The sequence below is a fragment of the Homo sapiens genome, chromosome 10, assembly GCF_000001405.40.
Source record: "Homo sapiens chromosome 10, GRCh38.p14 Primary Assembly".
NCBI lineage: Eukaryota > Metazoa > Chordata > Mammalia > Primates > Hominidae > Homo > Homo sapiens.
Genome location: NC_000010.11, coordinates 95,293,436 through 95,321,179, shown reverse-complemented (window position 1 = coordinate 95,321,179; position 27,744 = coordinate 95,293,436). Strand labels below are relative to the sequence as shown.

At 43.8% G+C, this 27,744-nt stretch overlaps 1 protein-coding gene across 79 annotated transcripts in view, besides 7 other annotated features; it reads left to right on the top strand.

Moving 5' to 3' along the window:
• The window catches only part of SORBS1 (sorbin and SH3 domain containing 1), a 249,599-nt gene extending 240,192 nt beyond the window's left edge, over positions 1-9,407 (top strand). For all 79 annotated transcript variants that reach the window (NM_001384455.1, NM_006434.4, NM_001034957.3 and 76 more), the window contains 2 exons: positions 2,748-2,860; positions 6,054-9,407. In NM_001384455.1, the coding sequence (NP_001371384.1) occupies positions 2,748-2,860; positions 6,054-6,121 (181 nt within the window). In that variant the 3' untranslated portion in view covers positions 6,122-9,407. The remainder of the gene's footprint in view (positions 1-2,747; positions 2,861-6,053) is intronic.
• Positions 10,850-11,029: an enhancer, noted in NCBI's record as "active region_3799". NCBI's record gives its function as "activates an Ori minimal core promoter by ATAC-STARR-seq in GM12878 lymphoblastoid cells {active_cell/tissue: GM12878}" and the evidence as "EXISTENCE:reporter gene assay evidence [ECO:0000049][PMID:35858748]".
• Positions 23,254-23,837: a transcriptional cis regulatory region, noted in NCBI's record as "candidate enhancer chr10.3436 targeted for multiplex CRISPR interference". NCBI's record gives its function as "positively regulates PDLIM1 gene expression with high confidence in K562 cells {active_cell/tissue: K562}" and the evidence as "EXISTENCE:mutant phenotype evidence [ECO:0000015][PMID:30612741]".
• Positions 25,326-25,505: an enhancer, noted in NCBI's record as "active region_3798". NCBI's record gives its function as "activates an Ori minimal core promoter by ATAC-STARR-seq in GM12878 lymphoblastoid cells {active_cell/tissue: GM12878}" and the evidence as "EXISTENCE:reporter gene assay evidence [ECO:0000049][PMID:35858748]".
• Positions 25,526-25,575: an enhancer, noted in NCBI's record as "active region_3797". NCBI's record gives its function as "activates an Ori minimal core promoter by ATAC-STARR-seq in GM12878 lymphoblastoid cells {active_cell/tissue: GM12878}" and the evidence as "EXISTENCE:reporter gene assay evidence [ECO:0000049][PMID:35858748]".
• Positions 25,622-26,218: an enhancer, noted in NCBI's record as "H3K27ac-H3K4me1 hESC enhancer chr10:97054719-97055315 (GRCh37/hg19 assembly coordinates)". NCBI's record gives its function as "activates a minimal SCP1, AML or CMV promoter by ChIP-STARR-seq in primed H9 embryonic stem cells {active_cell/tissue: H9 hESC(primed)}" and the evidence as "EXISTENCE:reporter gene assay evidence [ECO:0000049][PMID:30033119]".
• Positions 25,846-26,175: an enhancer, noted in NCBI's record as "active region_3796". NCBI's record gives its function as "activates an Ori minimal core promoter by ATAC-STARR-seq in GM12878 lymphoblastoid cells {active_cell/tissue: GM12878}" and the evidence as "EXISTENCE:reporter gene assay evidence [ECO:0000049][PMID:35858748]".
• Positions 27,527-27,616: an enhancer, noted in NCBI's record as "active region_3795". NCBI's record gives its function as "activates an Ori minimal core promoter by ATAC-STARR-seq in GM12878 lymphoblastoid cells {active_cell/tissue: GM12878}" and the evidence as "EXISTENCE:reporter gene assay evidence [ECO:0000049][PMID:35858748]".

The window sequence follows — 27,744 nt, the reverse complement described above, 5'->3', positions numbered from 1 at the left end:
GGACAAAGATGTTTGTTAGAAGACTTCAATCCAGCTAAGAAGCCATGAGGGCCTGAGCCAGGACAAAGTGGGCATTTTGTAACCGTGGAAGTGAGTATAATTACCAACAGAGATACATGTAAAGAAGCCTAGCCAGCCACAGAGACAGAGAAGGGCAACAAGAGATGCCAGTGAGGGTCTAAGACGTTCACTTTCACAGAACAGCTACAGCATCTGGTCAGCAGTGTCACCTGCCCCAGAGAGGCCAAGAGTGGGAAATGAGAAATGTCCACCAGGCATTTTCCATGGCAACTGGAAAAATCCCTGGTGACCTCTGATACGGCAGTATTAGTGTTGGTAGGGGTGGTGGCAGGTGCTGTGTTAGGAAGGGTCAATGGTGAGTGGAAGGCGGGGGGCTATAGATCAAGGGAATAGCAGAGTCAGGGGAGGTGTTTTTAGGGTGCAGAGACAAGCAAATTTTACCAGAGTAAAATGCCAGTTAATGCAAATAAGATGTAAGTGAGGCCAGGTGCGGTGGCTCACACCTGTAATCCCAGCACTTTGGGAGGCCAAGGTGGGCGGATCACGAGGACAAGAGATCGAGACTGTCCTGGCCAACATGGTGAAACCCTGTCTCTACCAAAAATACAAAAATTAGCTGGGCGTGGTGGCATGCGCCTGTAGTCCCAGCTACTTGGGAGGCTGAGGCAGGAGAATCACCTGAACTCCCGAGACGGAGGTTGCAGTGAACCAAGACTGCGCCATTGCACTCCAGCCTAGAGACAGAGTGAGACTCTGTTAAAAAAAAAAAAAAAAAAAAGTAAGTGAAGGAAGAGCCCAGGAAGGGGGTTCAACGTGGCTTGGAGAAGGGACCTTTCTTTCCTCACATGTGTGAGCAGGGGCAGGAAGGTGAGTGGAGGCACAGAGACTTAAATCTGGAGGGGAGGAGGATTAAGGTGCTGTCCACAGCAAGCTTCCATCTCCAGAAGTGGGGGCAGAGTGAGAGCTCTTGGCTGAGCGTGGGGCACCAGGATTGGCAAGAGAGCTGGGGGAAGGACCCCATGGGACAATGTTCTGAGGAGTATGAGGTTCATCCCAAATTAGAGCTGACTGGGGTACCCAAGCAGCAAGAGTGTGGGACTTTGTCCAGCCAGTCTCCACTGTCTGGGAGTGAAAATAGAGAAGCAGATATTGGAGTTATTTCCCAGGGCTGAGGCTGGCAAAGCAGCCATGGTGGGAGTTAAAGGGCCCAGGCATTCTAAGAAGCTGGCAAGGGGCATGTGTTGGGAGGCCAGTAGGAGACTCCAAATTGAGTAGGAGACAGCAGGCAAATACAGAAACATGAAAAAAAAAAGTGTTTATTTACCAATTGGAAATTGATCTGCATCTCTTAATTCCTCATTTGAGACCTTCCTTCTGGCAACCAGATCCATCCTCCAAATTATCAATACATTTGGATAAATATGGAAAGTGAAGTTGTCCCTCTGGTTTTAGCAGAGCAGAATGAACCTCTTGTTTTTGAGAACTGACTCCACTTGCTTGTTTCTAGTCTTTCTTGCTTGCACACTGGAATTCATTGACATCTACTGGAAATGGTAGATGACTGGCTCATTTACAGTTTTGCCTGCTACTGTCTTGTCTCAAAATAGTAAACAGAGTTGTGAAGTTGGTACATAGTAGGTGCCTCTTATGTATTTGTTGAAGAAATAAATAAAAACAAAGCTTTTCCTTGATGCCAAAGCAAGGATCAGATTTCACCACAAGCAGTCCAGCTGTCTCCAGTGGCTGCTAGAACAGACAAAACAGCACAGACCCAATGCCTTAGGCCAACTAGCAAGTAAATAAAAATCTTGCCCTCAATGCTCACTGGGATAGAAAAAAGAAAAAAGCTTTCAAGGGTTTCAGAAAAATGACATCCACATTTAAAAGCAGTGAATGAAATGTGTTTAGGCATGTAAAGAAACTCAAGATAGTTTTGCTAAACAGTGAGGCAATTGGAATGTACTTTTAATAGCATATATATAGCTATTATATATGGCTATTATACACACACTTTTTTTAAAAAACAAATGTTTTATGTTCTCCATATATATGACCAGAATGTAATGTCTCTGGGCCCAAATAACTTCTGATTATGCTTGATAATCTACATATATTATCCTGTGTTAAGGAAAAGGCTTAGTTTACTTTAAAGCAGGGGTCCCCGATCCCCAGGCACTACCACCTGGGCTCTGCCTCCTGTCAGATCAGCAGTGCATTAGATTCTCACAGGAGCGTGAACCCTATTGTGAACTGCACATGTGAGGGATCTAGGTTACGCCTTCCTTATGAGAATCTAACTAATGTCCTGATGGTTTCATCCCAAAACCATCCCCCCCACCCCACCCCATCTGTGGAAAAATTGTCTCCCACAAAACCAGTCCCTGGTGCCTAAAAGGTTGGGGACCACTGCTTTAAAGGCAGAGGTCAGAGTAGAGTAGGAAGTGCTCTAGATAAAAAGGCTTGGCTGTGGTAACCAAATGAAGCGAAATAAGAGTGATCATGGCTTGCTTGTCAGAAGTTCTCCATCCCTCAGTCTTAATTATATGTTGAATGCATCTCCCCAAATGCTAAGTTATTAGGGAAATAGTCAATAAAATGCTTTTATCCCTACTGATAAGTAGGAAACACTGCTGAAAAGTTTATTGAACTTGAAATGGAGTTTAAAAATTCCTTATTTAATCCTGTCGACATTTGAGTCACTTACTATTCATTTTTTTCATGTATAGATTTAGCTATCAAGCATTATATAGCTATATACCACAGAATGATGATGAGTTGGAACTCCGCGATGGAGATATCGTTGATGTCATGGAAAAATGTGACGATGGATGGTTTGTTGGTAAGAATCTCATCATGCTTTTCTTACTAGTTGTGTATTGAGGGAATAACAGGGGGCGATGAGCCATGCAAAAAGCAAAGCAATCTCCTCTGCACAGAAAGAAGAGCCTTCTCAGATTTTTATGACCTTGGAAATTCTGGGCCACCAGTCTGTGTTGCTATTATGATGGTGTGGATGTTGCTAATGTTGAACCTGAAACCAAATCTGCTGCACAGAAGAGCAGTTGTCAGATTTATTAATTGGGTTTCCATTTATTTTTTATATTTATTTATTTATTTATTTATTTATTTATTTATTGAGACAGAATCTCACTCTGTTGCCCAGGCTAGAGTGCAGTGGTGTGATCTCGGCTCACTGCAACTTCTGCCTCCCGGGTTCAAGCAATTCTCCTGTCTCAGCCTCCCGAGTAGCTGGGACTACAGGCGCCTGCCACCACGCCCAGCTAATTTTTTTATTTTTGGTAGAGGTGGGGTTTCACCTTGTTGGTCAGGCTGGTCTTGAACTCCTGACCTCAGGTGATCCACCCACCTTGGCCTCCCAAAGTGTTGGGATTACAGGCATAAGCCACCGCACCCGGCCCTAGTCTCCACTTATATTTATATTGTGCATGTGTCTATTTTGCATTTGGAAATTTTATTTTTAAAACCCTTATGAAATAACACAAGAAAATGTTGACTGAGCCTATGTCTCTACCATGAAACTCAGGCATACGTGTAGACATTCTAAAGACCTTATTTACTCCAGGCTTTCAATAATATTAGTCAAAGCACCCTGCTTAATTAAAGGATTTGCCTTTACAAGGAGAGAGATCAACATTTATTGAGATTCTATTACAAAGCAGACACTGTGTTTGATATGCTTTTATTGACGTTCTCTCAACAAACAGCCCTGTAAGATAAGAATTATCCTCATTTATCAGATTCAAAAACTGAGGCCCAAAGAAGTTAATTAACTATGCCAAGATCACCAGGGTAGCAAATAGTGGGGCCAGGATTTGAACTCAGGCCACCCATCTCTCCTGAAATCTGTGTTCTTTCTGCTCAGGCATGAATATAATGTTGGGAGATATTGACCCACTCTGCCTCAGTTTCTCCCTGTACAAGTGGCTTTACCTTCACCTTCTTTCCAAAGACCAGCCCTTCCCTGATTTTTCTGGCAAAGCTTTGCTAAAGCAAAGTAATATCAGGGCTGGGGTGGTAAGGACAGCAAGACCTCAACATGAATGAGAAGTCAGTAAGATTTGCCTTGTCCTCACCAGCCTCTTAGAGAACTACCCCATCCTCCCGAGGTCCTCAGAAGCCCACGGCCCTCACTACTTTGAGTCGTCTGTTCAGTAGAAATCAGGTCTGAGAAGTCAGTGACCACTCTGGTGCAGTGCAATCCAATAGAAATGCAATGTAAGCCATGTGTGAAATTTAAAATTTTCTAGAAGCCACATTGAAAAGAAGTAAAAAGAAACCAGTGAAATTAATTCTAATGTATTTTGTAAACCCAGTGCATTCAAAATGCTACCATTTGAACATGTAATCAATATTAGAAATGGTTAATGATTTATTTTACAGACATCTTTTCATACTGTCTTTGAAACCCAATGTGTATTTTATAGTTACAGCACAGCTCATTTCAGACTAGCTACATTTCAAGTGCTCAGTAGTCACACGTGGCTATCATTTTAGAGAGTGCAGCACTAGTATGCAATAGCTGTTAAACTCGTTCAGGAATATATATATTTTTTATGAGAACTTAGGTGTGGGAAGGAGCACCAGTTCTCTAATGAAGGCCTGCCAGGCAGCTGGGTAAAGGAAATATTTTGGGATGAGTATCTTCCTTGCATCCCTGAACTCTTCACTTGCTTCTTTTTTTTTTTGAGATAGAGTCTTGGTTTGTCACCCAGGCTCGAGTACAGTGGCACAAACTTGGCTCACTGCAAGCTCCACCTCCCGGGTTCAAGTGCTTCTCCTGCGTCAGCCTCCCAAGTAGCTGGGACTACAGGCCCGCATCACCACGCCTAGCTAATTTTTATATTTTTAATGGAAATGGGGTTTTACTATCTTGGCCAGGCTGGTCTCGAACTCCTGACCTCAAGTGATCTGCCTGCCTCAGCCTCCCAAAGTGCTGAGATTGCAGGCGTGAGCCACCATGCCCAGCCTCCTCGGTCACTTTGAAAAGTAGCATTTTCAAACTACAAATAAAGTAGCCTTAGCAGAACTCATTTTTCTCATCCATAAGGAAAGATACTAACTAGCTATGTGGCCCTAGGCAAGGTTCTTATTATCTCTGGACCCTACCATCTCAGTTCTCTAACCTTCTTGGCCATTCTCCATAGGAGTTCAACTAGATGTTTTAGGTTTCCTAAGCTTTAACATATTTTTTTAGCTTAGAAGTTTCACTTTGGGTAGTAATTCCAACCCATTGGTAGTGGCTGCTTGAGATGTGTACAACAGGATTCCGAAGCCAAATCTAAGCCAATTGTGATAAGGGTGCAGTTATCAAATTGGGATGTCTGCTAAAGAAACGATAATGATGATACAACATATATTTGCCACTCCTGCTTTAGAGAGAGAATCCCAAGGGAAGGAACTAGATTAAGGATCAGCAGTGCTGCATCTGGAGCAGCCCAGGAAGGGCTTTGTTCCCAGATGGCTCAATGCTCCTGGCTTAGCAGGAGCCCTAACAAGGTTAGTACCAAAGATAGGGACTCAACTGGGGGCTTAGGCACAAGCTGGATAGGAATTTCCTTTTGATGGGTGGCCATAGTCAGTGGGCTTTTAGAAACTGCATGGTTTAGAAAATCTAAATCTCAGGTATCTTCTTGTGTCAGATAAATGTATGAACTCCTCCACAAAGCAGAAGTGTTGGAAAGAGCAATGGACTGGGAGTCAGAAGACCTCGGTTCAGATTCTGCCTCTGATAGTTACTAAGCAGTGGGACCTCAGACATGTTACTTCTACTCTCTGAACCTGGGTTCCTTCTGAAAAACAGGAGTACTAGAAATGCCTACATTGCTTACCGCCCAGCATTATTTGGCAGCCTAAGTGAGATAAGATAGGGGAAAGTACTTTGGAAACCATACGGTATTCTCTAAGCTGCAGGACTGTTACAAGGGGTTTTGGAGCAGAAATCTCTGCAGCGTGCTGTCTCAACTCAAGCGAGTGGGTCTTCTCATGTTTTGTATGTGTGTGTTTTTTCATAGGTACTTCAAGAAGGACAAAGCAGTTTGGTACTTTTCCAGGCAACTATGTAAAACCTTTGTATCTATAAGAAGACTGAAAACCATGGAGATTATTTTTATTGGAGGAGGAAGCATCATTCATGAACCGATCTTTTTAGTTGAGTCAGTAGGAAAATTAATACAGTGGATAAAGTAAGAAGCAAAAGACAGGGACAGAGAAGTGTTGTGTTTAAAACCCAAGCCTGTCTAAGGTTACTGTGTATTAGACAGGGCCGAACTAGTGTGCTGAGCAAAAAGAATTGAAGCAAATTGTATTTACTTAGCCGCTTCTGGGAGCCACTTCAGCCTTTCCCCTCCCCTCCACTTCTTGGGTAATCTGACCTGAAGCATAGTCCAGGAGCAGAGTTAGCCAGAAATGCCTCCTGCTGCCCCAGCCTTAGAGAGCTCCCATCTCAATCATTGAGCCTGAAGGCTTCAAGCCCAAGAATGCAACAAGACCCCCAGCCTACATTTCTCAGCTCCCCTGGAGCCAGCTGATCCTGTAACGCTGCTGGAGGTCAGTCTGAGCTACCAAGACTGTCCCTAGACAAAGGTGGAGTCCCCCACACTGCCCAAGACCAAATCCCTCACTCAACCTGCTGAGGTGTGGATGGGGAAACAGAGGCAAAACTGAGGCACCTGATGCATTCAGCCTGCTGTGCAGCAGTGCCATTGACTGCCCTGATGTTCAGAGAGAAACGCACACAAGGTTTGCCCATGAGAATTGGGGAGCAGATGGCCAAGCAGATAGGTTATGTCTGTTTTCTGAGTGATGAAGTCAGGAAGCCCTGTGGCTCTGGAGGCCACTTGTGGTTCATTCTTTTCCCATATCCTTGGCTTTTAGAAATGGTTACCTTCAGGACAGTGCAGCTGCATTTATCAGAGCACTATTGCTAAGTTTTCTTTTCTGGCTTGTGTTTTTCTGGGACAGTTTAGAATTGGGAGGCCTATTCTCATAGAACACCAAAAATGATGTTCAGTGATTCATTTAACATACACCAATGTACTCTGGCTGCTGGGGGGACAACCATAAGCAAGACATGCCCAGGGTTTGCCGTGGCTCCAGATCTACTCCCTGTAGGAGTTCAAGGATCACACAAACGGTAGTAACCAGGGTTGTGAATCTGAGTACACCCTGGCAAGGCTTCTCTTCAGACTGAAGCAGCAATTCTGCCACTACCAGCAGCAACCAGGACGTCTGTTCTTTGTGGGGGCCAGATCAGAAGAGAGAGGCCCCTGTGACGCCCGGGCTGCTTGGTCACAACTCTGTCCAATTCAAGGATGTTTATCGGCCTCTCTTAGATCCTGAGTGAGACAAATACAGAAATGACCCATTCCCTGCCCACCAGAAACTCAGAGGTGATTGGGGAGACTGACACAGGAAAATGAACTTAATCAAGAGAGACTGTGATATGTGCTAAGAAGGGTGTGAGGGAGGGAGAGATGAATTTTCCCTGGAGGGATCCTAGAAAGCATTGTCATATTGCCATCTCCATTAGCTCACTTTTAAACAACTAGGGTGCTGGAAGAACCTTTGTCTGAGGGTAGTTCATAGCTGGAAATACTTGGAATATTTTCCAGAGTCTCTAAACTCTCATCTTCCCCCACAGATACACATCCAAGCTCACAAATAGGAGTAGCAATTCTAGGTGGTAGGGTTGTGTACGGAACCCCTGGCTGTCTGCATATATCTCAGAATTACCCCAGGACCATTGTCCCAAAGTCTAGAGTCTTTACAGGTAGGCAAAATTTGTTTTCAATGCCTGTGCCTCAGCTGCTGTCACAAATACCCATCTTAGGATCCCATCAGCTTCCCATCCCCCACCAGACAGCCACAGTACCCTCACTTTCTCCCTATTGTTCTTTCAAATCCTGTTCTCAGGAAAGAAACTGCCACTAATTCATTCACACTAAGGTGTAAATGATTGATAATAGGAATGAGTTACCTCTTCCCACAGACATTTGTTTTTAAGTATGACAGAGCAGGGCCTTAATCCCAAGGGAAAAGGTTATGGAACTGGAGGGGGTGAGCTTTCTGGGTAGAAGGAGACTTCCTGAATTTCCTTAAAACCCAGTAAGAGTAAGACCTGTTGTTTTGGAAGGTCTGCTCCACCATCTAAGAGCACTGTTTTTTTTTTTTTGTTGTTGTTGTTGTTTTACGGTCTCTGAGGGAATATAGTAAAAATGCATATGCACGTGCAATTTGCACGGCAGCATTTCACCGATTGTGGACTGTATTGGCTAATGTGTTTCCTGGTCTTTAGATGCAAACCATTAATAACACTATCTTATCTCATAGTTTTTTCAGGGGTGCTTCTTGATTAGTAGGGAATTTTGAACACCTCTTTAAATACAGCTAGAAAATAAAACCAATTTGTAAAGCCACATTTGCATATGATGCCAGCCTCACGCATTTGTATATCTCCAGAAATTCAGGTATGCCTCACCAATTTGCCCGTCTTTAATAAAATCTTGTGTTAAAATTTGCATCACGTCGCCTTCCTATGTATGACGAAACAAGAAACAGAGATTTCCAATTGCTCTTTTGTCTTCAGACATTTAGTAATATAAAGTACCTATTTTTATGCTGAAATGTTTATACAGGTTTATTAATAGCAAGTGCAACTAACTGGCGGCATGCCTTGCAACACATTTTGATATATTAGCCATGCTTCCGGGTAAAGGCAAGCCCCAAACTCCTTATCTTTTGCAGTCTCTCTGGGATCAGTAAAAGAAAAAAAAAATAATGTGCTTAAGAAGTGGGACTGTAAATATGTATATTTAACTTTGTATAGCCCATGTACCTACCTTGTATAGAAAAATAATTTTAAAAATTTGAATGGAAGGGGGTAAAGGAAGTCATGAAGTTTTTTTGCATTTTTATTTAAATGAAGGAATTCCAAATAACTCACCTACAGATTTTTAGCACAAAAATAGCCATTGTAAAGTGTTAAAATTTACGATAAGTATTCTATTGGGGAGGAAAGGTAACTCTGATCTCAGTTACAGTTTTTTTTTCCTTTTTAATTTCATTATTTTGGGTTTTTGGTTTTTGCAGTCCTATTTATCTGCAGTCGTATTAAGTCCTATTGCTAGAATAGGTTACTACAAAAAAGGTTATATTCTGAAAGAAAAATAACTGACATTATATATAACCAATTAATTTAAAGTATTGCCATTTAAATTACACACTGAGAGCATGTCCTATGCAGACATAGATTTTTCTGTTCATTTATTTTTCTTCATTGCAGTGGATTGATTTGATAAATAGATGTGTTGAATTACTACATTTGCTGTACATATTATTTAATAAACTTTATTCAGAATTGCGTGGCATATGTTTGTTCTGGTCATTCATTGTTTCTTTCCTCCCTTTGCCAAGCTTCTCAAATGAAGCTTAAATTCACTGCTTCAATTTCTTATACCCTCCTTTCCATCCTTAATCATTTACCATCTGCCTTCTGCCGCCTCCTTGAAGACACCACTTCTTACCTTACTTTTTTCTCAATAACCTAACTCCTGACCCTCTGAATTAATTGATTACTGTTGACCATTTTGCCATTATTTCTAAAATATGTTCGTATTTGTTCTGATAACAAAAGTGATGCACAAATGTCTTTAAAAACAAAAGTAAAACATTATAAAATATGTATAATGGGTCTAGATTTGCTTTATAAAACATGGGTATGGGAAATGACATAGCACTTTGTTTTTCTAAATCAAATTAATCTGGCTATGAGTCCTCTCTTGGTATGGGTGGGCGAAAATGCAATCTGTCCTTTTTCTCCTCCAAACCAAATGTGTTAAGGCACTAGGCATGCAGTCTCCCCTGGCATCCCGTGGCTACAACTACTGCCATCTTAGTCTGGGATGGGGTCTGCTGCACACAAGGCATGGATCTGTCCCCTAATAGGAAAGCTCACGCCTCTACCCTCTCCCCCTGGGTTCTGTCCTCCACCTCCAACTCAAAGCACCAGTTTGCAGTGCTGCCTCTGGGGTAACTCAGTGTACTTGGGCCTCCCCTGGGAGAGGGGCCTAACAGTCTCTTGTTTCAAGGGTCTGACAGTCCTTAACACTAGGTCCTGAATCACAGGCCCTATGAACCCTTGTCTCCAACAAATCCATCAGCTTACCTCCTAACTACATTTAGAACCCAGCCATTTCTACCATCGTAGCCCAAGCCATTTTCTCTCACCTGGATCATCGCAATAACTGTCTAACTGGCCTCCCTGCTTCTGCTATTGCCCCTCTAGTCTAGACAGAGCAACCACAGTGATCATCTTAACGTTGGTCCAAAACCCTCTAGTGGCTTCTCATCTCGCTAATGTGGTACAATGGCAAGTCCATAGACATACTGCTCCTCCCCTCCCCCTAACCCCTGAATTCATCTCCTTCATTCCAGCCACACAGCCCTCTTTATGGCCTCAGACTCATTAAGCACATTTGAGGTTCAGGGTCTTCATGTTTGCAATCCCCTGTGCCTGGAAGGCCCTTTCCCCAAGAGCTGCATGGTTTTCTTCCTCCTTTAGGTCTTCCTGTTGTCTTCTCAATGAGGCTTTTCGTGACTACTTTACATACATCTAGGAACCTATTGTCCCCACCCCCTGCATTCCATCCCCCTCTTCCTCCTCTGTTTCTCCATAACACTTATCACCATCTGAAATTTGTCTCCACAAGCAATCCTGTAAAATCCATGGGGTTAGTGACTCTGTTTTGCTAATATATGCCTGGCACCAAGAAGAGAGTCTAATGTGGCACTCAATCCTTTGTTTATCAAATAAACAGATAAATAAGCCCTTGAGGCCAGAGATCCTAGAACTCAGAATATGTTCTACCAACAATGAAAGAAGGGAAACCATTTTCTTACAGTGGCAGAAACAATGAATTAATCTTTCAAATTATGCTGGTTTCATACAAACATAGAAAGTGAAAGTTCTCCATAATAACACTCCTCACAGAGATCACTCCTATATATGGTCCTCCCAGCTTGCTTTTCTACACATACTAAACACACACGTCTCTAAAATGCTTTATGTAGTCTCATACACTTTTACTTTCCTTTAGTAGAACTTGGACATGTTTCCATAACTTACTTAACCCATCCTCTATTGATGATGCAGGTATTTAAGGTTATTGCCAGCTTTTTACAACAACAATGCTGCTTTGAGTAAAATTATTGGCTTAAAGAGCAGGAACATTTCAAACCTTAAGAGATTTCCAAATTGACTTCCCAAAAATTCCAATTATACTCCCACCAAGTCCATGGAAGTGTGTTTCCCACCACCCAATTAAAACTACTACATTGTCCGCTTCCATGAATTGGGGCTCCTTGGTTCACCCGCTTTTGACTGGCCAACCCCTTCTTCATCCTCTTTCTAGATCTTCACTGCATCCTCAGCCCTCTGTTATTTTATCTCAATACATGCTCCTGCGGAGAGCAGATCTCTCCCAATATAATTACGGCCCAAAGAGTCAATTGTGGGAGGGCCCTTTCAATGATTAAATGGTAGAAGCTTAGGCCGGGCGCAGTGGCTCACGCCTGTAATCCCAACACTGTGGGAGGCCGAGGTGGACGGATCACCTGAGGAGAGGAGTTTGAGACCAGCCTGACCAATATGGTGAAACCCCATCTCTACTAAAAATACAAAAATTAGTCAGGCGTGGTGGCGTGTGCCTGTAATCTCAGCTACTCAGGAGGCTGAGGCAGGAAAATCGCTGGAACCCGGGAGGCAAAGATTGCAGTGAGCCGAGATCGTGCCACTGCACTCCATCTCACAAAAAAACAAAAACAAAACAAAACCTAACACTACTGCATTGGCTGAGACATACCAAAGGGCGTTAGAACTAGTCTCAGTCAGGAGTTAATCCAGAGACTCAAACTTTCTCATCAGTATTTGTCTTATTCTTGGCGTTTTGTTTGGCTACATTTTCACCTACTGAATGCAGCAGTGGGAAACATGGCTGCAAGCTGCTCCAGCCTCCTTCCAGCTCTCTGACTCCAAATTCTCAAGGCAAAAGGACCTTCCTATTTGGCTTTCCCTGAAAACAACTCCAGATGCTGGCAGGCCCAGCCTGGATATTTACTCTTCCCTAGACTAATCACTTTGACTAAAGAGGCAACTTTACTTGTAAAAACCTTTGTGGCTTTTGGCCAGGCATGGTGACTCACGCCTGTAATTCCAGCACTCTGGGAGGCCGAGGTGGGTGAATTGGCAGCTCAACCAAAACCTCAAAGAATGAGGGAGAGGAGTGGCTGGGCGAAGGGGTGTCTGCTCTAAGAAGGGGAAAAGGAAACTGGACAGATAACAGCTCAATGGTCCACTGGACTTGGAGAGTTATTGTAACACACTTTGAAAATGGAACACTATTGTCCTGTCCCAGTATAAACTTCAGTGTAGTTGAAAGCAGGCTATGTGCTGAAGTTTTGCTAGCCAAGGTCTTGACAAGAATACAGTGGGAGGAGAAGTCCCAGAGGAGGGGGCCAATGCGACCAGGGGGGCACAGCACAACCGTATCTCATGCTAAAAATATCAGACTCTAATGGAAGGGAACAAAGTTGATGTCTCAGAAGTCACAGAGGATGTTTGGATGAGTTGTACGTGGGAGTATTTTTCCAAGTCTTAGCACATAGAAACCACATCTGTCTCAGGAACACTTAACCAGGTCTTTTAGGACAAATCAAAGAACTTATCACTTGATACAGGTAATTTTTGGAACAAATTAGCCAACAAAGTGGTTCAGATTGAAAATATTATAGAACATTTAAGATAAATCCATAGATGCAAAAATCCATAATGAGAAGCTCTGAATGACCGTGTGACACTATGAAGTCTGTCCCGGAGGACAACTGCACTGGTCTTCCAGGACCCTCACTCTAGCCTTGTCAGGGGCAAAATATTGAGTAGATTAAGAGTCTCTCTACCTTTAGGGTTTACTTGTTTTTCAAGTAATATCTGACAAACAGACGAATCTGCAAAAGGGAGATCAAATCATCTTCAATAGTAGCATAATGTAAATCGATGATCTCAAAGCTTGGTTCATGGTCACTTTGGAATCTCCAAGCCCTTTCAGGAGATTCATAATGTCAGAACTATTTTCAAATGATGTGAAGCTGCTTGTGGTAGTCAGCGTCCAAAGATGCCTCCAGTCACCCTCACCTCTTGGTATTCAGGCTCTTGTGTGATCCCCTTCCCCATTCTATGAGGGTTGGTCTGTGTGATCAATAGAATGTTGCAGAAAAGTGACAGCATATCACTTCCAAGGTTAGGTTGTAAAATCCTTTATGGCTTTTGGCCAGACATGGTGACTCATGTCTGTAATCCCAGCACTCTGGGAGGCCGAGGTGGGTGGATCACCCGAGGTCAGGAGTTCGAGACCAGCCTGGCCAATGTGGTGAAACCCTGTCTCTACTAAAAATACAAAAATTAGCCGGGCATGGTGGTGGGTGCCTGTAATCCCAGCTACTCGGGAGGCTGAGGCACAAGAATCGCTTGAACCTGGAGGCAGAGGTTGCAGTGAGCCGAGATTGTGCCACTGTGTTCTAGCCTGGGTGACAGAGTGAGACTCCATCTCAGAAAAAAAGAAAAAAAGAAAAACCTTTGTGGCTTTTGTCTCATGCTTGGATCACTCACTTGAGGAGGAGTGGACTACAGTTTAGAACTTCTAAGTTCTGGTATTTTGTTGTGTTGGATACATGCACTAATTCCTGAAAAAAGGAGAAGTATTGGAAAGAACAATGGGCTGGCAGTCTGAAGACCTGAGTTCAAATGCCTCTTAGGCTTACATACATTGTGAGACCTCAGAAATGCCACATAGGCTGTCTTGAGTTTTTTCATCTAGGAGGGAAAGATGCCTGGACCAAAGTGAGATCCTTCTAGGAAGGAGGAAGAAAAAGGATGTTTGGAAGGCAATCTGCAATGTCCACATTGGAGCTCCCCAGTCATTCTATTGCCTACTGTATACCAGCACTTTCCATGTGTTATCTTTTAATAGCACCTCGGTGAGGAAGGTATTCTTATCTCCACTGACAGGTGAGGGAACTGAGACTCAAAGGAGTTCAGCCCCAGGGTATATGTGCAAGTACATGGCTTCAGTCTGACTCCAAAGCCAGGGTCCTTTCCATTGATCACACTCTACTGCCTGCAAGGCACAGAGCTGGGACAAGACTGTGGACCAGTATACCTCTGGATCACCTAAAGCTTACCAAAAGACTATAACATCTTCAAAAGCAACCTCATTGAATAATAGTGATAACCATTAGATGAGCACCTACTACGTGCTTGAACATTGAAAGTTGCATTAAAGGTCTATGTCCCTCCTTGGTCAGTCTTCTGCCAGAGCCGAGACAGCAGCAATGGCATAGAAGAAATCTGCCAATTTCATGTCATCTTATTCTCCAGCACTCACAAACCTCTCAGAAGTGTGGTCCGGCCTCGAACCTGTATTGCCTGACCACTAGTCTGAACCCTTTGTCACCTGCACTGTGGCTCCCATATGTGGTGTTATAGATCTGCAAAGCTAAAAGTGAACAAAAATTTGCACTCTTATTTTCTGTGTCAATTAAGAATAACTCCAGCTGCAGTAACATATGGCCGAATAAATGCCAGCTTATGTGACGCAGATGTGTCTCATTATCTCGTGGAAAAGAAGACAGGGCTCTGGGTTAGTATGTCCCCTGGCCTTTGTCTCATAATGGCAATCTGGCTACCATGGCAGTTCCAAGCACCACATCCTCATACAACTGCTTTTGAAGGTTGGAAGCAGGGAGCAACAACACAGGACAGAGGTTTTATCTTTGCAAGTTTTCCCTCATCAGGGAAGAAAAATCTTTTCCAAAAGCACCCCCCACCAACCCACCCCGCATCTCATTGGCTAGAGGTGACCATGGGGCTACTCCTAACTACTAAGAAATTGCTTCGAGGAAGTGGACCAGGCAGAGAGGACTGGGAGTGGCTTTGAAGTAGCCAACCAGGGGTGGGTTTTGTAAGCAAGTCCTTTCTGTATCTTTTTCTTAGGTTTCTGTGAGATCTTCCTGCCTCTTCCCTCAGTTTCTTTGAGTTCTTTCCTGGCTTCTCACCTTCTTCTCACTCCCTAAATAGGAACGTTTCCAAGTTTCTCTCTGTAATCTGTTAGCTGCGCAATCTTATCTATTCCCTTTGTTTCAAATATCACCTCTCTGCAAATTACTTGTTTCCACCTTTTAAATTAAACAAAACAAAGTTATTAGCTAAACTTTAAGAAGTAAAACAAACTGAAAACTTGTATAATCAGCCAGGCGCGGTGGCTCACGTCTGTAATCACAGCACTTTGGGAGGCCAAGGCGGGTGGATCACTTAAGGTCAGGAATTCCAGACCAGCCTGGCCAACATGGTGAAACCCTGTGTCTACTAAAAATACAAAAATTAGCTGGGAGTGGTGGCACGTGCCTGTAATCCCAGATATTCGGGAAGCTGAGGTAGGAGAATCACTTGAACCTGGGAGGCAGAGGCTGCTGTGAGCTGAGATGGTGCCACTGCACTCTAGCCTGGGTGGCAGTGAGACTCCATCTAAAAAATAAATAAATTGTATAATCACCACTGCTGAGACATAACCTTTTTAAAGTGCTCTGCCAAACATATATATAGGTGATATGTGTATAAACTGCTTTTTTTACTTACTAGATTAAAAAGTCCTTTCTTGACAACATATACTCATGTCTGCATCATCATTGTAATGATTACATGATATTCTGTAGTATGAACATGACATGGTATATTTAGCAACCCTCTATTATTGATACTTGGGATGTTTTCAATATTTTGCCATTATGGAGAATTCTATAATGAACATCCTTTTCCATACTCTTGACACTTTGAATGGCTACTTTTTTTCCAGATAAATTCCTAGAGTGGAATTGCTAGATCAAAGAGTATGCTGTATTTAAGAATTTCGACACCTACATTTTTGTCATCTGACTGTTGACAAGACCTGTCGGTTCTTCCTTGAAAATTATCTTGGGTTTGTCCTTCCTCTCTGTCTCTGAGAATCATCACCTTACACCCTCCCTCAACTGATACCATTGCCTGAAATCTCTTCTTCTATGATAAAATTCTTCCTACTCACAAAATGGTTGTGGATTTAGAGGTGCCCTTGTCACCTTCAGTTTGGGAGTCCAATTACAGGTGAACAAGACTTTAGTATTTTTGCAAAGTTTCCAGAGAATTGAAGAGCGGGTCCTTAACACAGGGCATTGGGAGTCAAGGAAGGCGGCTGTGGTAAAGGGGGCATGCTTAGCAAATTATGGGAGAAAAAGCCCAGATGGGACCAAGGAAAGAGGGGGAATCAAGGAAGAGAGAGAAGCTTTCCAGAAGAGCTGCAAAAAGAAACGTGACAGGTAGGAAGTTAAGCTTTAATCCTCTGGGCATTGTAAGGTCAACCCAGGGCAGGGTCAGGCCATAAAGGAGAGTAACAATAGTGCCCCATTTACCTAAGAACAATGAAGGGCCCTGTATACAATTACAGCGGCCTTTCTATGACCCTGCTGAGAAGGTCTACACCCCTCTTTTTCAGTTAAGGAAAAACCTCTCTCGTTCCTTCTCCTCCTCCAGCTCCTGCCTCATTTCTCTCATTCCCTTTAAGGTAAAACACCTCAGAAAAGCTGTCGATGCTGGCTATCTCCAGTTCTGGTCCTCTCATCCTCTCTTGAACCACTCTGTTTAGGATTTTGACCCCTTGCCTTAACAAAACCATTCTCTTAGGACACTCAATGACCTTCCCAGTATTAAACCCCATGCTTGACTTTCAGTTCTCAACTTCCTTGACTTTTCAGCAGCATTTAGGACACTTGACTTTTCCTGCCTCCTGCAGAGGCTTTCTTCACCTGCTTGCAGATGCACCCTCTCTAGGTTCTCCCTGCTCCTTCTCAGTGTCCTTTGTTAGTTCCTCCTCATTTCCCAGGCTCCACCCTTGGCCTCCACCTTTTTTCCTACTTCCTGGTGCCCTCATCCACTCTTGTGTCTGAATGTCCTCTATATGCTGATCTCTTGCCTGGACTCTCCCCTGGAATCCAGACTCCTATATACAACCGCCTGCTCTACATCTCCACTGAAATATCTCATGGGTGCCTGAAACTTAAATATATCCAAAACTAAATTCCTAAACTCAGCAGTATCCCCAAAAGCTGCTGCTTTCCCTTTTCAGTTAATGGCGATTCCATCCTGTAGCTGCTGTTCAGGCCAAAAAACATGACTCATCCTCAAACATCCCTCCTATACCTTACTTCCTATCCCTCAGCAGATGCTTTAAAATATAGCCAGGATCCAAGCACTGCTGCAAACTCCTCGACTCCCACCCTGGGCCCAAGCCAGTCATCAGCTCTTGCCTGGATGATAACAACAGCCGGTTACTGCTCCCCTGCTTCTGCGGCTTGCCTCCTCCATCTGTTTTCAACACAGCAATCAGAGTGCTGAAAACGTAAGTCAGGCCATGTTCATCTTCCGCACAAAGCCCTCATGACCTTCCCTCCTACTCCTGGTGCTTCTCAAATGCCCACGAGGCGCTGCCCATTCAGACTCTCTGTTATTTCTCTGACTTCATCTTCCCCACTTTCCCTCACTCCCTCAGCTCCTGCCCCACTGGCCATCTTGCTGGTGAATGCTCCAGGCTTGTTCCTGTCTTTGAGCTTATTATTTCCTGCACATGGACTGCTCGTCTTCCAGATATCTCCATGGATTGCTCATTCACCTTATTCAGTCTTTCCTTAAATCACTTTCCCGGAGAAGTCTTCTTTCATTACTCTTATTGTTGGCATTTGCTTTATTTTTGACCCTGCTTCCATAGAACATAACAGCATCTGTTGTACCATATATATATGTATATAGTTTTATACACACACACACATATATACACACACACATATATATATAGAGAGAGTTTTTTCTTTTCTTTTTTTTTTTAGAAAACATTTTATTTGAGCCAGGCATGGTGGCATGCACCTGCAGTCCTACCTGAGGCAGGAGGATCACTTGAGCCTAGGAGGTTGAGGCTGCAGATGCAGTGAGCCAAGATTGTGCCAATGCACTCCAGCCTGGGTGACACAGCTAGATTCTGTCTCTAATAATTATATATAATAACATTATATATGTTTTATATATAATATATATATATATATAATCGACCAAGTGTGGTGGCTCATGCCTGTAATCCCAGCACTTTGGGAGGCCGAGGCGGGTGGATCACCTGAGGTCAGGAGTTTGAGAGCAGCCTGACCAATATGGTGAAACCCTGTCTCTACTAAAATTACAAAAATTAGCCAGGCGTGGTGGTACGTGCCTGTAATCCCAGCTACTTGGGAGGCTGAGGCGGGAGAATTGCTTGAACCCGGGAGGCAGAGGTTGCAGTGAACCAAGATTGTACCACTGCACTCCAGCCTGGGCAACACAGAGAGACTCGGTATCAAAAAAAAAAAAATATATATATATATATATATATATTTATTTATATATACATAAAATATATATTTATATATTTTATATATATATATGCCCAGACTATTTATTTATTATCTGTATGGATTGTGGATTTTTATTTTCTCCAATGGGTTATAATTCCTTTCATAATTATATATAATTCCTTTCATAACTATATTATATAATGTATATAATATATTATATTGTATATATAACATATATTATATATAATGCATATATGAATATATAAAAATATATACTATATAATACATAAATATATATTATATACTTAATATATATTATATATATAAAATATATCATGGTTACAAAATGATATTTTTGAAACTCTTGCACTTCCCCTACATTTATCAGTTGGTATTTATAGTTCTACTGTAAGCAAGAATCCTTGCTTCCCATCCATCCAACCACGCACTCATGCATCCATCCATTTATTTATTTATTTATATTTTTTGAGACAGAGTCTTGCCCTGTCGCCCAGGCTGGAGTGCAGTGGCATGATCTTGGCTCACTACAACCTCTGCCTCAGAGGTTCAAGTGATTCTCCTGCCTCATCCTCCCAAGTAGCTGGGACTACAGGCTCATACCACCACGTCTGGCTAATCTTTTGTATTTTTAGTAGAGACGGGGTTTCATCATGTTAGCCAGGATGGTCTTGATCTCCTGACCTCGTGATTCACCTGCTTCAGCCTCCCAAAGTGCTGGGATTACAGTCGTAAGCCACTGTGCCCGGCCTATTTATTTATTATCTGTATGCATTACGGATTTTTATTTTCTCCAGTGGGTTATAATTCCTTTTATAATTATATATATGTATATAAATAATGGGCTGGGCGCAGTGTCTATGAGGCAGGTGGATCACTTGAGGTCAGGGGTACGATACCAGCCTGGCCAACATGGCAAAACCTTATCTCTACTAAAAATACAAAAATTAGCCAGGCATTGTGGTGTACACCTGTAGGTCCCAGCTACTTGGGAGGCTGAGGCACGAGAATTGCTTGAACCTGGGAGGTGGAGGTTGCAGTAAGCCAAGATTGTACCACTGTACTCCAGCATGGGAGAGAGGGAGACTCTGCCTCAAAAAAATAAAAAATAATAAAAAACATTTTGTTTGGGAATAAATTCAAGACTACAGAAAAGTTACAAGAATAAGGACGGTACAAAGAGCATCCATATGTCCTTTACCAAGATCCCCCTTTTGTTAACATTTTATCCCATTTGCTTCATTTACTCCCTATGCCCATCCTGACCTCAACACACACACTCACATACACAAACATTTTTCTGAACCATTTGAGAATAAATTATACATATTGTGGCACTTTATCTCTAAATACTTCAGTGTGAATTTCCTAAGGATAGAGATACTATCTTACATAACCACAGTCCAGTTATCAACCAGTAAATTTAACATTGATACAATACTTTTATCTAATCCTCCATCTGTTTCCAATTTCATCAATTGATCCAATAACGTCTGTTTTTTTTTGTTTTTTGAGATGGAGTCTTGCTCTGTCACCCAGGCTGGAGTGTAGTTGGGAGATCTCAGCTCACTGCAACCTCCATCTCCCAGGTTCAAGCAATTCTCCTGCCTCAGCCTCCTAAGTAGCCGGGACTACAGCCCCTGCTACCACTCCTGACTAATTTTCGTATTTTCAGTAGAGACAGGGTTTCACCATGCTGGCCAGGCTGGTCTCGAACTCCTGAACTTAAGCAATGCTTGGCACGATTTCTGCTCATTGCTGCCTCAACCTCCTAGGCTCAAGTGATCCTCCCACCTCAGCCTCCTGAGTAGCTGGGACTACAGGTATGTGCCACCACATCCAGCTCATTTTTGTATTTTTAGTGGAGACAGGGTTTTGCCAAGTTGGTCAGGCTGGCCTTGAACTCCTGGGCTCAAGTGATCTGCCTGCCTTGGCCTCCCAAAGTGCTGGGATCACAGGCCTAAGCCACTGTGCCCAGCCTATTCTCCTTTAATCTGAAACGTAGCTACAGCCTTTCTTTGTCTCAGGACATTGTCTTTTTGAAGACTATAGTTCCACCCACACTCAGTTTTATTAATAGGGGGTTGTCTGATATTTCCCTATGATTAGATTCAGGTTATGCATTCCTTCCTGGAAGGTAACGTATGAGGTGTGTCCTTATCAAAGTATCATATCTGAGTTACACGATGTTCTTCTGCCCCTCACTGGGGATGTTAATTTTGATCTCCTGGTAAGGTATTGTTGGAATTTGCCATGTATCATACTATAGTCCATGCTATGGTTTGAATGTGTCCCCTCCCAAACTCAGGTGTTGAAACTTAATGGCCAGTGTGATAGTATTAAGAGATGGGGCCTTTAATAAGTGATTAGGTTATGAGGCGCCTTCCCTCATGAATGAGATTAAGGCCCTTATAAAAGAGGCTTCACACAGAGTGTGGTTCTCTTGGCCTTCTGCCATGTAAGGACATAGTGTTTCTCCCCCTCAGCCTTCAGAACTGTGAGAAAATAAATTTCTGTTCTTTATAAATTACCTAGTCTCAGGTATTGTGCTATAGCAGTACAAACAGACTAAGACAGAAAGAATGTTGTGTCCCCCCTCAAAGTTCATATGTTGAAATCTAACCCCCCAAGTGGGGCCTTTGGGAGATGATTAGATCATAAAGGCTCCATCCTTTTTTTTTTTCTGTTTTCTTTTTTTTTTTTTTTGAGACGGAGTCTCGCTCTGTCGCCCAGGTTGGAGTGCAGTGACGTGATCTCGGCTCACTGCAACCTCCGTCTCCCGGGTTCAAGCGATTCTCCTGCCTCAGCCTCCTGAGCTGGGATTACAGGTGTGCACCACCATGCCTGGCAAATTTTTGGATTTTTAGTAGAGATGGGGTTTCAACATGTTGGTCAGGTTGGTCTCGAACTCCTGACCTCGTGATCCGCCTGCCTCAGCCTCCCAAAGTGGTGGAATTACAGGTGTGAGCCACCACGCCTGGCAGCTCCATCCTTATAATGGAATTAGTGCCCTTGTAAAAGAGGCCCAAGGGAGCTTGTTCGCCTCTTCCACCATTTGAGGACACGGCAAGAAGATGCTATGTATGAGAAAGTGGACCCTTACATGATAATCCCCTAGTGCCTTGATCTTGGACTTCTCAGCCTCCAGAACTGTGAAAAATAAATTTCCTTTGTTTATAAGCTAAACAGTCTATGGTATTTTTGTTAGAGCAGCCCCAACAGACTAAGACACATCATTGTTGTTTTTTCCTTTGCATCAAATAAGCAATCTGTAGGGAGACATTTAAGACCATACAAGAATCCAGCTCATCATCAAACTCTCACCCTAGATTTTGCATCCAGTGATGATTCCTGCCTAAATAATCTTTACTACTATGGTTGCAAAATGATGTTTTTGAAACTCCTGCACTCCCCCTACATTTATTAGTTGGCATATTGGTTCTACTGTAATCAAGAACCTTCGCTTTTCACTCATCCACCCATCCATTCATCAATTTATTATCTGTGTGGACTTGTGGATTCTTATTTTCTCTAATGGGTTATAATTTCTTCTTGTTCTTATTATTATTTGAGATGGAGTCTCGCTCTGTTGCCCAGGCTGGAGTGCAGTGGCATGATTTCGGCTCACTGCAACCTCTGCCGACCGGGGTTCAAGCAATTCTCCTGCCTCAGCTTCCCAAGTAGCTGGGATTACAGAAATGTGCTACCATACCCAGCTAATTTTTGAATTTTTGGTAGAGACAGGGTTTCACCATGTTGGCCAGGCTGGTCTCAAACTCCTGACCTCAGGTGATCTGCCTGCCTTGGCCTCCCAAAGTGCTGGGATTACAGGTGTGAGCCACCGCGCCTGGCCAATTCTTTATTATTTCAGTGCTCAAATTGCTGCGTGCGTCGCCAGTGGGAGCCCCCTGAAGCAGGCTTCTGTGTCCTTTAACATGCCCCCATCACTTTTTACTTTTCTAAGTTATTTTTTACTTTATGCATAATAAGCCATTTCAGGTGCATCTTATACCTATCCTGCCACAGCTACCTATTCTGGAATTTATCTGAGGGGTCATGGTTCCTTTTCATTTAGAAACCAAGGTATGGGTACTGGGTGTGTATATTGCTCTGGAGTATTTTTGCTTTTAGGCCTTTGGGGCAGAAAAACCTATGCATGCAAATACACATACCTATACATATGTATATTCATGTACATACTTATATAAATACATACGCGCCTACATAAACATACATATACAAAACATACCATATAGTTTACTTATTTATTTTATTGTTTGCCCTTTACACTAAAATGTAAGCTCTACAAGGGAGGACATTTTTGTCAGTTTTGTTTGCTGTTGATTTTCTAATACATAGAACAGTGTATAGCCAATGGAAAGCATTCAATAAAGAGTTGTTGACTAAAAGACAATCAATACCTCTAGTAGGCTAAAGGACTTGTCAAATCCTCATAGCTGACAAATGGAAGAACTCTTTTTTTTTTTTAACCATGCTTTGAAGACTCCAAATAGGAGCTAAGTTTGGCTAGGATAGTATTAATAGATATCTTCATTGTGATTTTCCCACCTTTATTGTTTTTTCTGTCCTCTTCTATCTCCAGACCTCTGTCATTTGTATCTCTTCTCTTTCTACCCTCTGGGATTCACAACTTCAGGCGGTCAGTAGGTAGGAGTTGAAGGCAGAGGCTAGGTGGGAGGGCCTGGGGGTAGAAGAAGAGGACCCCAGGCCTACATTACCCAGCAGTGATGGCTGAGCCCCAGCCTGGTATATGCCCTAATGTGAAGATGGGAGGACAGGGGGAAATGGTGCTGGTACCTGGAGCCAGCATTGTCACTGCTAGCTGGTCTCCTGCTGTGTTCTCACCTAGCAGCAGCCCTGATGCTACCCAAGGAATAACACTGGAAGCAGTGTTGGAGATAACTGGAGAGAAGGTGGACCCAGAGGAGATGGGTGGGGACCCAGCAGAGAGGAAGTCACCCTCTAGGAGCCCTGCTGTCATGGAAACTGGCCCTGCCATTCTATCTGTCCTCAAATGCTATAAATAGTCAGCTTCAGTATCAGTTATGGCCAGACCAGGCCAGCAGCACAGGCAAACCCTGAGAGGAAATGGATTGGTGGGGGAGGATGGAGTTATAGAGACAGAGTGTATGGGTGGAATGAGAGGGGCTGGCGGGAAGCCTTTGCCTGTCCCTACCGCATCCACATCAGACCACTGACATTCAAAGCCCTCCCGAGCAAAATTTCCAGCCTGCATATCATCAATAATGTTATTCCACCAGGCCATCCCGCTTCCCTCCCACTACCTTGTTCATTCTGTCCCTGCTGCCTGTATGGCCTTTCTGCCTCCACAGTTGCTTGTACTTTTAAAGTATGTTTCAAATTCCACTTCTTCCATGGAGGAAACTGAAAAAGCCATTCCTGAAAGGATCTAGTCTAGTTCCTAGATGGTGACACTTGGGCTGTGGGCATCCCTGTTAGTATAGGAGGAAGATTTAGCCCTTTGGATCTCCATGAATTGTGGACCTAAATGGTCTCCTGGGGTCCTAGGAACCTCTGAATAACCTTCTGCTCTGTTACAAGGCCCTTCACATCCAAGAGCTCTTCCCTTGCCTCTCTAGCCCTTTTCCTGCCTCCTTTGCCCTGTTCCTTGGTTACTGAGTGATTTTAGGGAAGTCTCTTAGTCTCTCTGGACCTGTTGCAGGCTGAATTCCCTGGTCCCAGAGACAGTTTATCATGCAGGATGTTAATTAAAGAAGGTCCTCAGGCTCAACACCTGTGGAAGAAAGCAGGGCGGGGGATGGATTGGGCAGAGGAAGAAGAGCCGCCATGTCGGCCTGACGGCCTTCACTGATTCCATGGGGAGCTCTGGAGTCAAAATGTCCCATCAGAGTTGTCCCATGTTAGGCCCAAATGGCCAGTCTTTCACCCCCACCTAGATGATGTGTGACCCTGGGCAGGCAGCGTAGGGAAGGTGTGCTTTTGGGAAAAGCTGCTCTGTAGTAGAGATAGTCCCTAAAATAACTAAATGCTGAAGGGTGTCCACCTCCTGGCACCTGGGACAGGTCCTTTCATGAAGGGGTTCTGGATGGTGCCTCAGTGCCTCAGCCTTCTCCTTTGTGAAAAGTGCATGATGACACTTCACTGGACTCTTGTTCTGATATAGAACTATATGTATATACATACATATATGGTCTCGCTCTATAGTCCAAGCTGGAGTGCAGTGGCACAGGAACTGCTCACTGCAGCCTCAACTTCCTGGGCTCAAGCAATCCCCCTACCTCAGACTACTGAGTAGCCCTGACGACAGTCATGTGCCACCACACCCAGCTACTTTCGTATTTTTTGTAGGAACGGGGTCTTGCTATGTTGTGCAGGCTGGTCTCGAACTCTAGAACTCAAGCGATCCTCCTGCCTCGGCCTACCAAAGTGCTGGGATTACAGGTGTAAGCCACCGTGCCTGGCCTAATTCATTAATACTAATATAATACATTGTCTTTTTGTTTTAATTTTTCAATATAAGCATTTAATATGAACCACCCTATCTATTACCCTGTTTTGGAATTTCTTCTTCTCCTTTTGATACTCAAGGATGCTTGAGACATTATCGCCCAAGTTTCTCTCTGCTTTTGAGAACACCAGTGCCATCTGTCCAGGTGGAATGGGAACCAGGAGGCAGGTGGGTGACATAGCTGTGGTCCTTGGGCTCGCCCCTCAGTTCTTTGTCTACTAGGCACTCGGCAGGCCTCAGATCTGGCAGTTCATCTACTCACACCTCACCAGCCCTGAGGGAACGCCAGACAGTTCTGTGCCCAGGTAGGTAGGTGTCTTTATATCCAGACGCCCACGAAGCATGCTTTGTGCAACTGGAATCCGAGAGGCACCCAATCCCCAGTGGACACTTCAAGATTTCCCGAGCTGGAGCAGAAAGCAGGAGAAAAGGATTGGGAGCTCAATTCCCTGCCCAGTCGCTAGCGCGGCCGGGAGAACCTCTCCCCGCCGGGTCTCGCATGCAGCCAGCTGCCTGGAGCGGCGCCGCGACGAGTTGCGCGTGGGGCTCCATCAAAGACGCGCAGACCCTGGGAGGGGGGTGACACAGGATAGCACTGGGCGGGTAAAGATGTCTTTGTTTTGCGAGGCTCTGAGCCTGAGTTTCGGTTCTTTTCACAGCAAAGGGAAGCAAGTTGCTTGTTTGATCAGGGCGCCCGCGGCAGGCAGTTGCACGTTTGCAGACGTGAGAACCGGTGCGCGATCTGCGCTCGGCCGCGGTGAAACCAGAGCTTCCGGCGGTTCTTTGCTTGGCTGCGCAGAGCCTGGCCTCACTTAGATACCAGAGCGGACCTCCCAGTCAGGAGTCACACGCTTTCGCTTGGTCCCAGCTAGAAGCCTAGCCCCACAGAGGGCTCTTGAGTTACCTGGGCAAGTCCAGGACTTGTTCTGCAGAGTCAACGAGACTTATTGTAAAGCTGAGCACAATCCTAGACTTACTGTCTTTAGGAAATGGGGCTGTTGTTCCAGGAAGTAGTCTCCACACAGTGGCTCTAAAAGGTCCTGGTAATTGCACCCTGGGTGTGGGAGTTGCCAGCTCTGCAGAGGCCAAGCTGGGGGAGCCAGGGCATCAACCACTTCCCACCCAGGTCACATTGTAAAACTGGACTGAGAGCTGGAGAGACCACTGTCCCACCCCTTGCACTTTCCACCCTCCTTGCTTCCCTCTTCTCATTCTCCCCGCTTGCCCTAGAACACCCAGATGTTGAATTTAGGCTGTTTAGGTTAACAAACTTTCATGGAATGTGTTATAATAATAAAAATAAGGCAAACTGAAGTTTGGAGAGGTTGCTTAAGGCCATTCAACTAGCACTGGGCAGGAGTCGAGGGTCTGAGGGAACTGGAAAGCATGAATAAATTGTGTTTAAGTAATGGTGTTTAAGGTAAGAGAAGATTGTTTATGTTTTGGGGTGAGGGTCGTCAATCTTTTTCTGGGTATTTTCTGAGTATATATGCTGTGTGCCCAGTTCAGAGCTAGCTGGTTGGGGGAGAGAAGAGGAGATAAAAAAGATAAATGGAGGCCGGGCGCGGTGGCTCACGCTGTAATTCCAGCACTTTGGGAGGCCGAGGTGGGTGTATCACTTGAGGTCAGGAGTTCGAGACCAGCCTGGCCAACATGGTGAAACCCCATCTCTACTAAAAAGACAAAAATTAGCCAGGCGTGGTGGCAGGTGCCTGTAATCCCAGCTACTTGGAAGGCTGAGGCAGGAGAATCACTTGAACCTGGGAGGCAGAGGTTGCGGTGAGCGGAGATCGTGCCACTACACTCCAGCCTGGGAAACAGAGTGAGACTCTGTCTCAAAAAAAAAAAAAAAAAAAAGGATAAATGATCAGGTCTCTATCCTGAGAAAGACTAGCATTTAGTCTCCATCCAAGGAGCTGGGACCATTTTGATGTTTATTATGAAAATTTTACATCATCATTAGAGGCAATTATTAAAAAAAATTCTCATTCTGTCTGCCACTACTTTTCCTACTTTCTCTTAATTTCAATAGGTAGATAAGCTTTTATTTTTTAACACGGTATACGAATAATTTTGTTGCACTCTTTTTACATATTTTGAAAACACATTTCCCTGTCTCTTCACAGTCTTCCTGGTTATTTTCATGCTGCATACTCTTCCCTCTTACGGCCATACCATATTTAGCCACTTTTCTGTTACTGGTTGATTCCAGTTTTTTGTCATTATAAATAATGCAGCTATAAATATCTGTATACATACAGCATTTTTCTTTTTAAAAATTATGTCCTTGGAATTGTTGCCCAGAAAGTGGATGACTGGGTCAAAGGGCTGACTGTTTTATAGCTCTTGTTATGTAGAGCCAGACTACAACCGAGGACATTTAAAAACAAAGCAACTGAGGACTCAAGTCTCACAGACATTTTGCTAACACATTAGTGCACTATGTCTGTATAGACTATTGTACGGAATAAACACTTATTGACACCTACTGTGATTGAGGTCCATGCTAGCAGGGCACTTGGAATGAATGAAAGGCAGTCTCTGCCTTCAGAAGCACAGAAGCTGTGACTTTTCAACCCTTTTCTCCTTCTAGGACAGAAAATATTCAAGATGGTTACACATCTAGGGACAGATTCAGAATTCGGTGATTCCTGCAAATTCTGCAGGGACTTGAAACACAGTCATGCTTTCTAATCAACAGAATCTTAAACAAA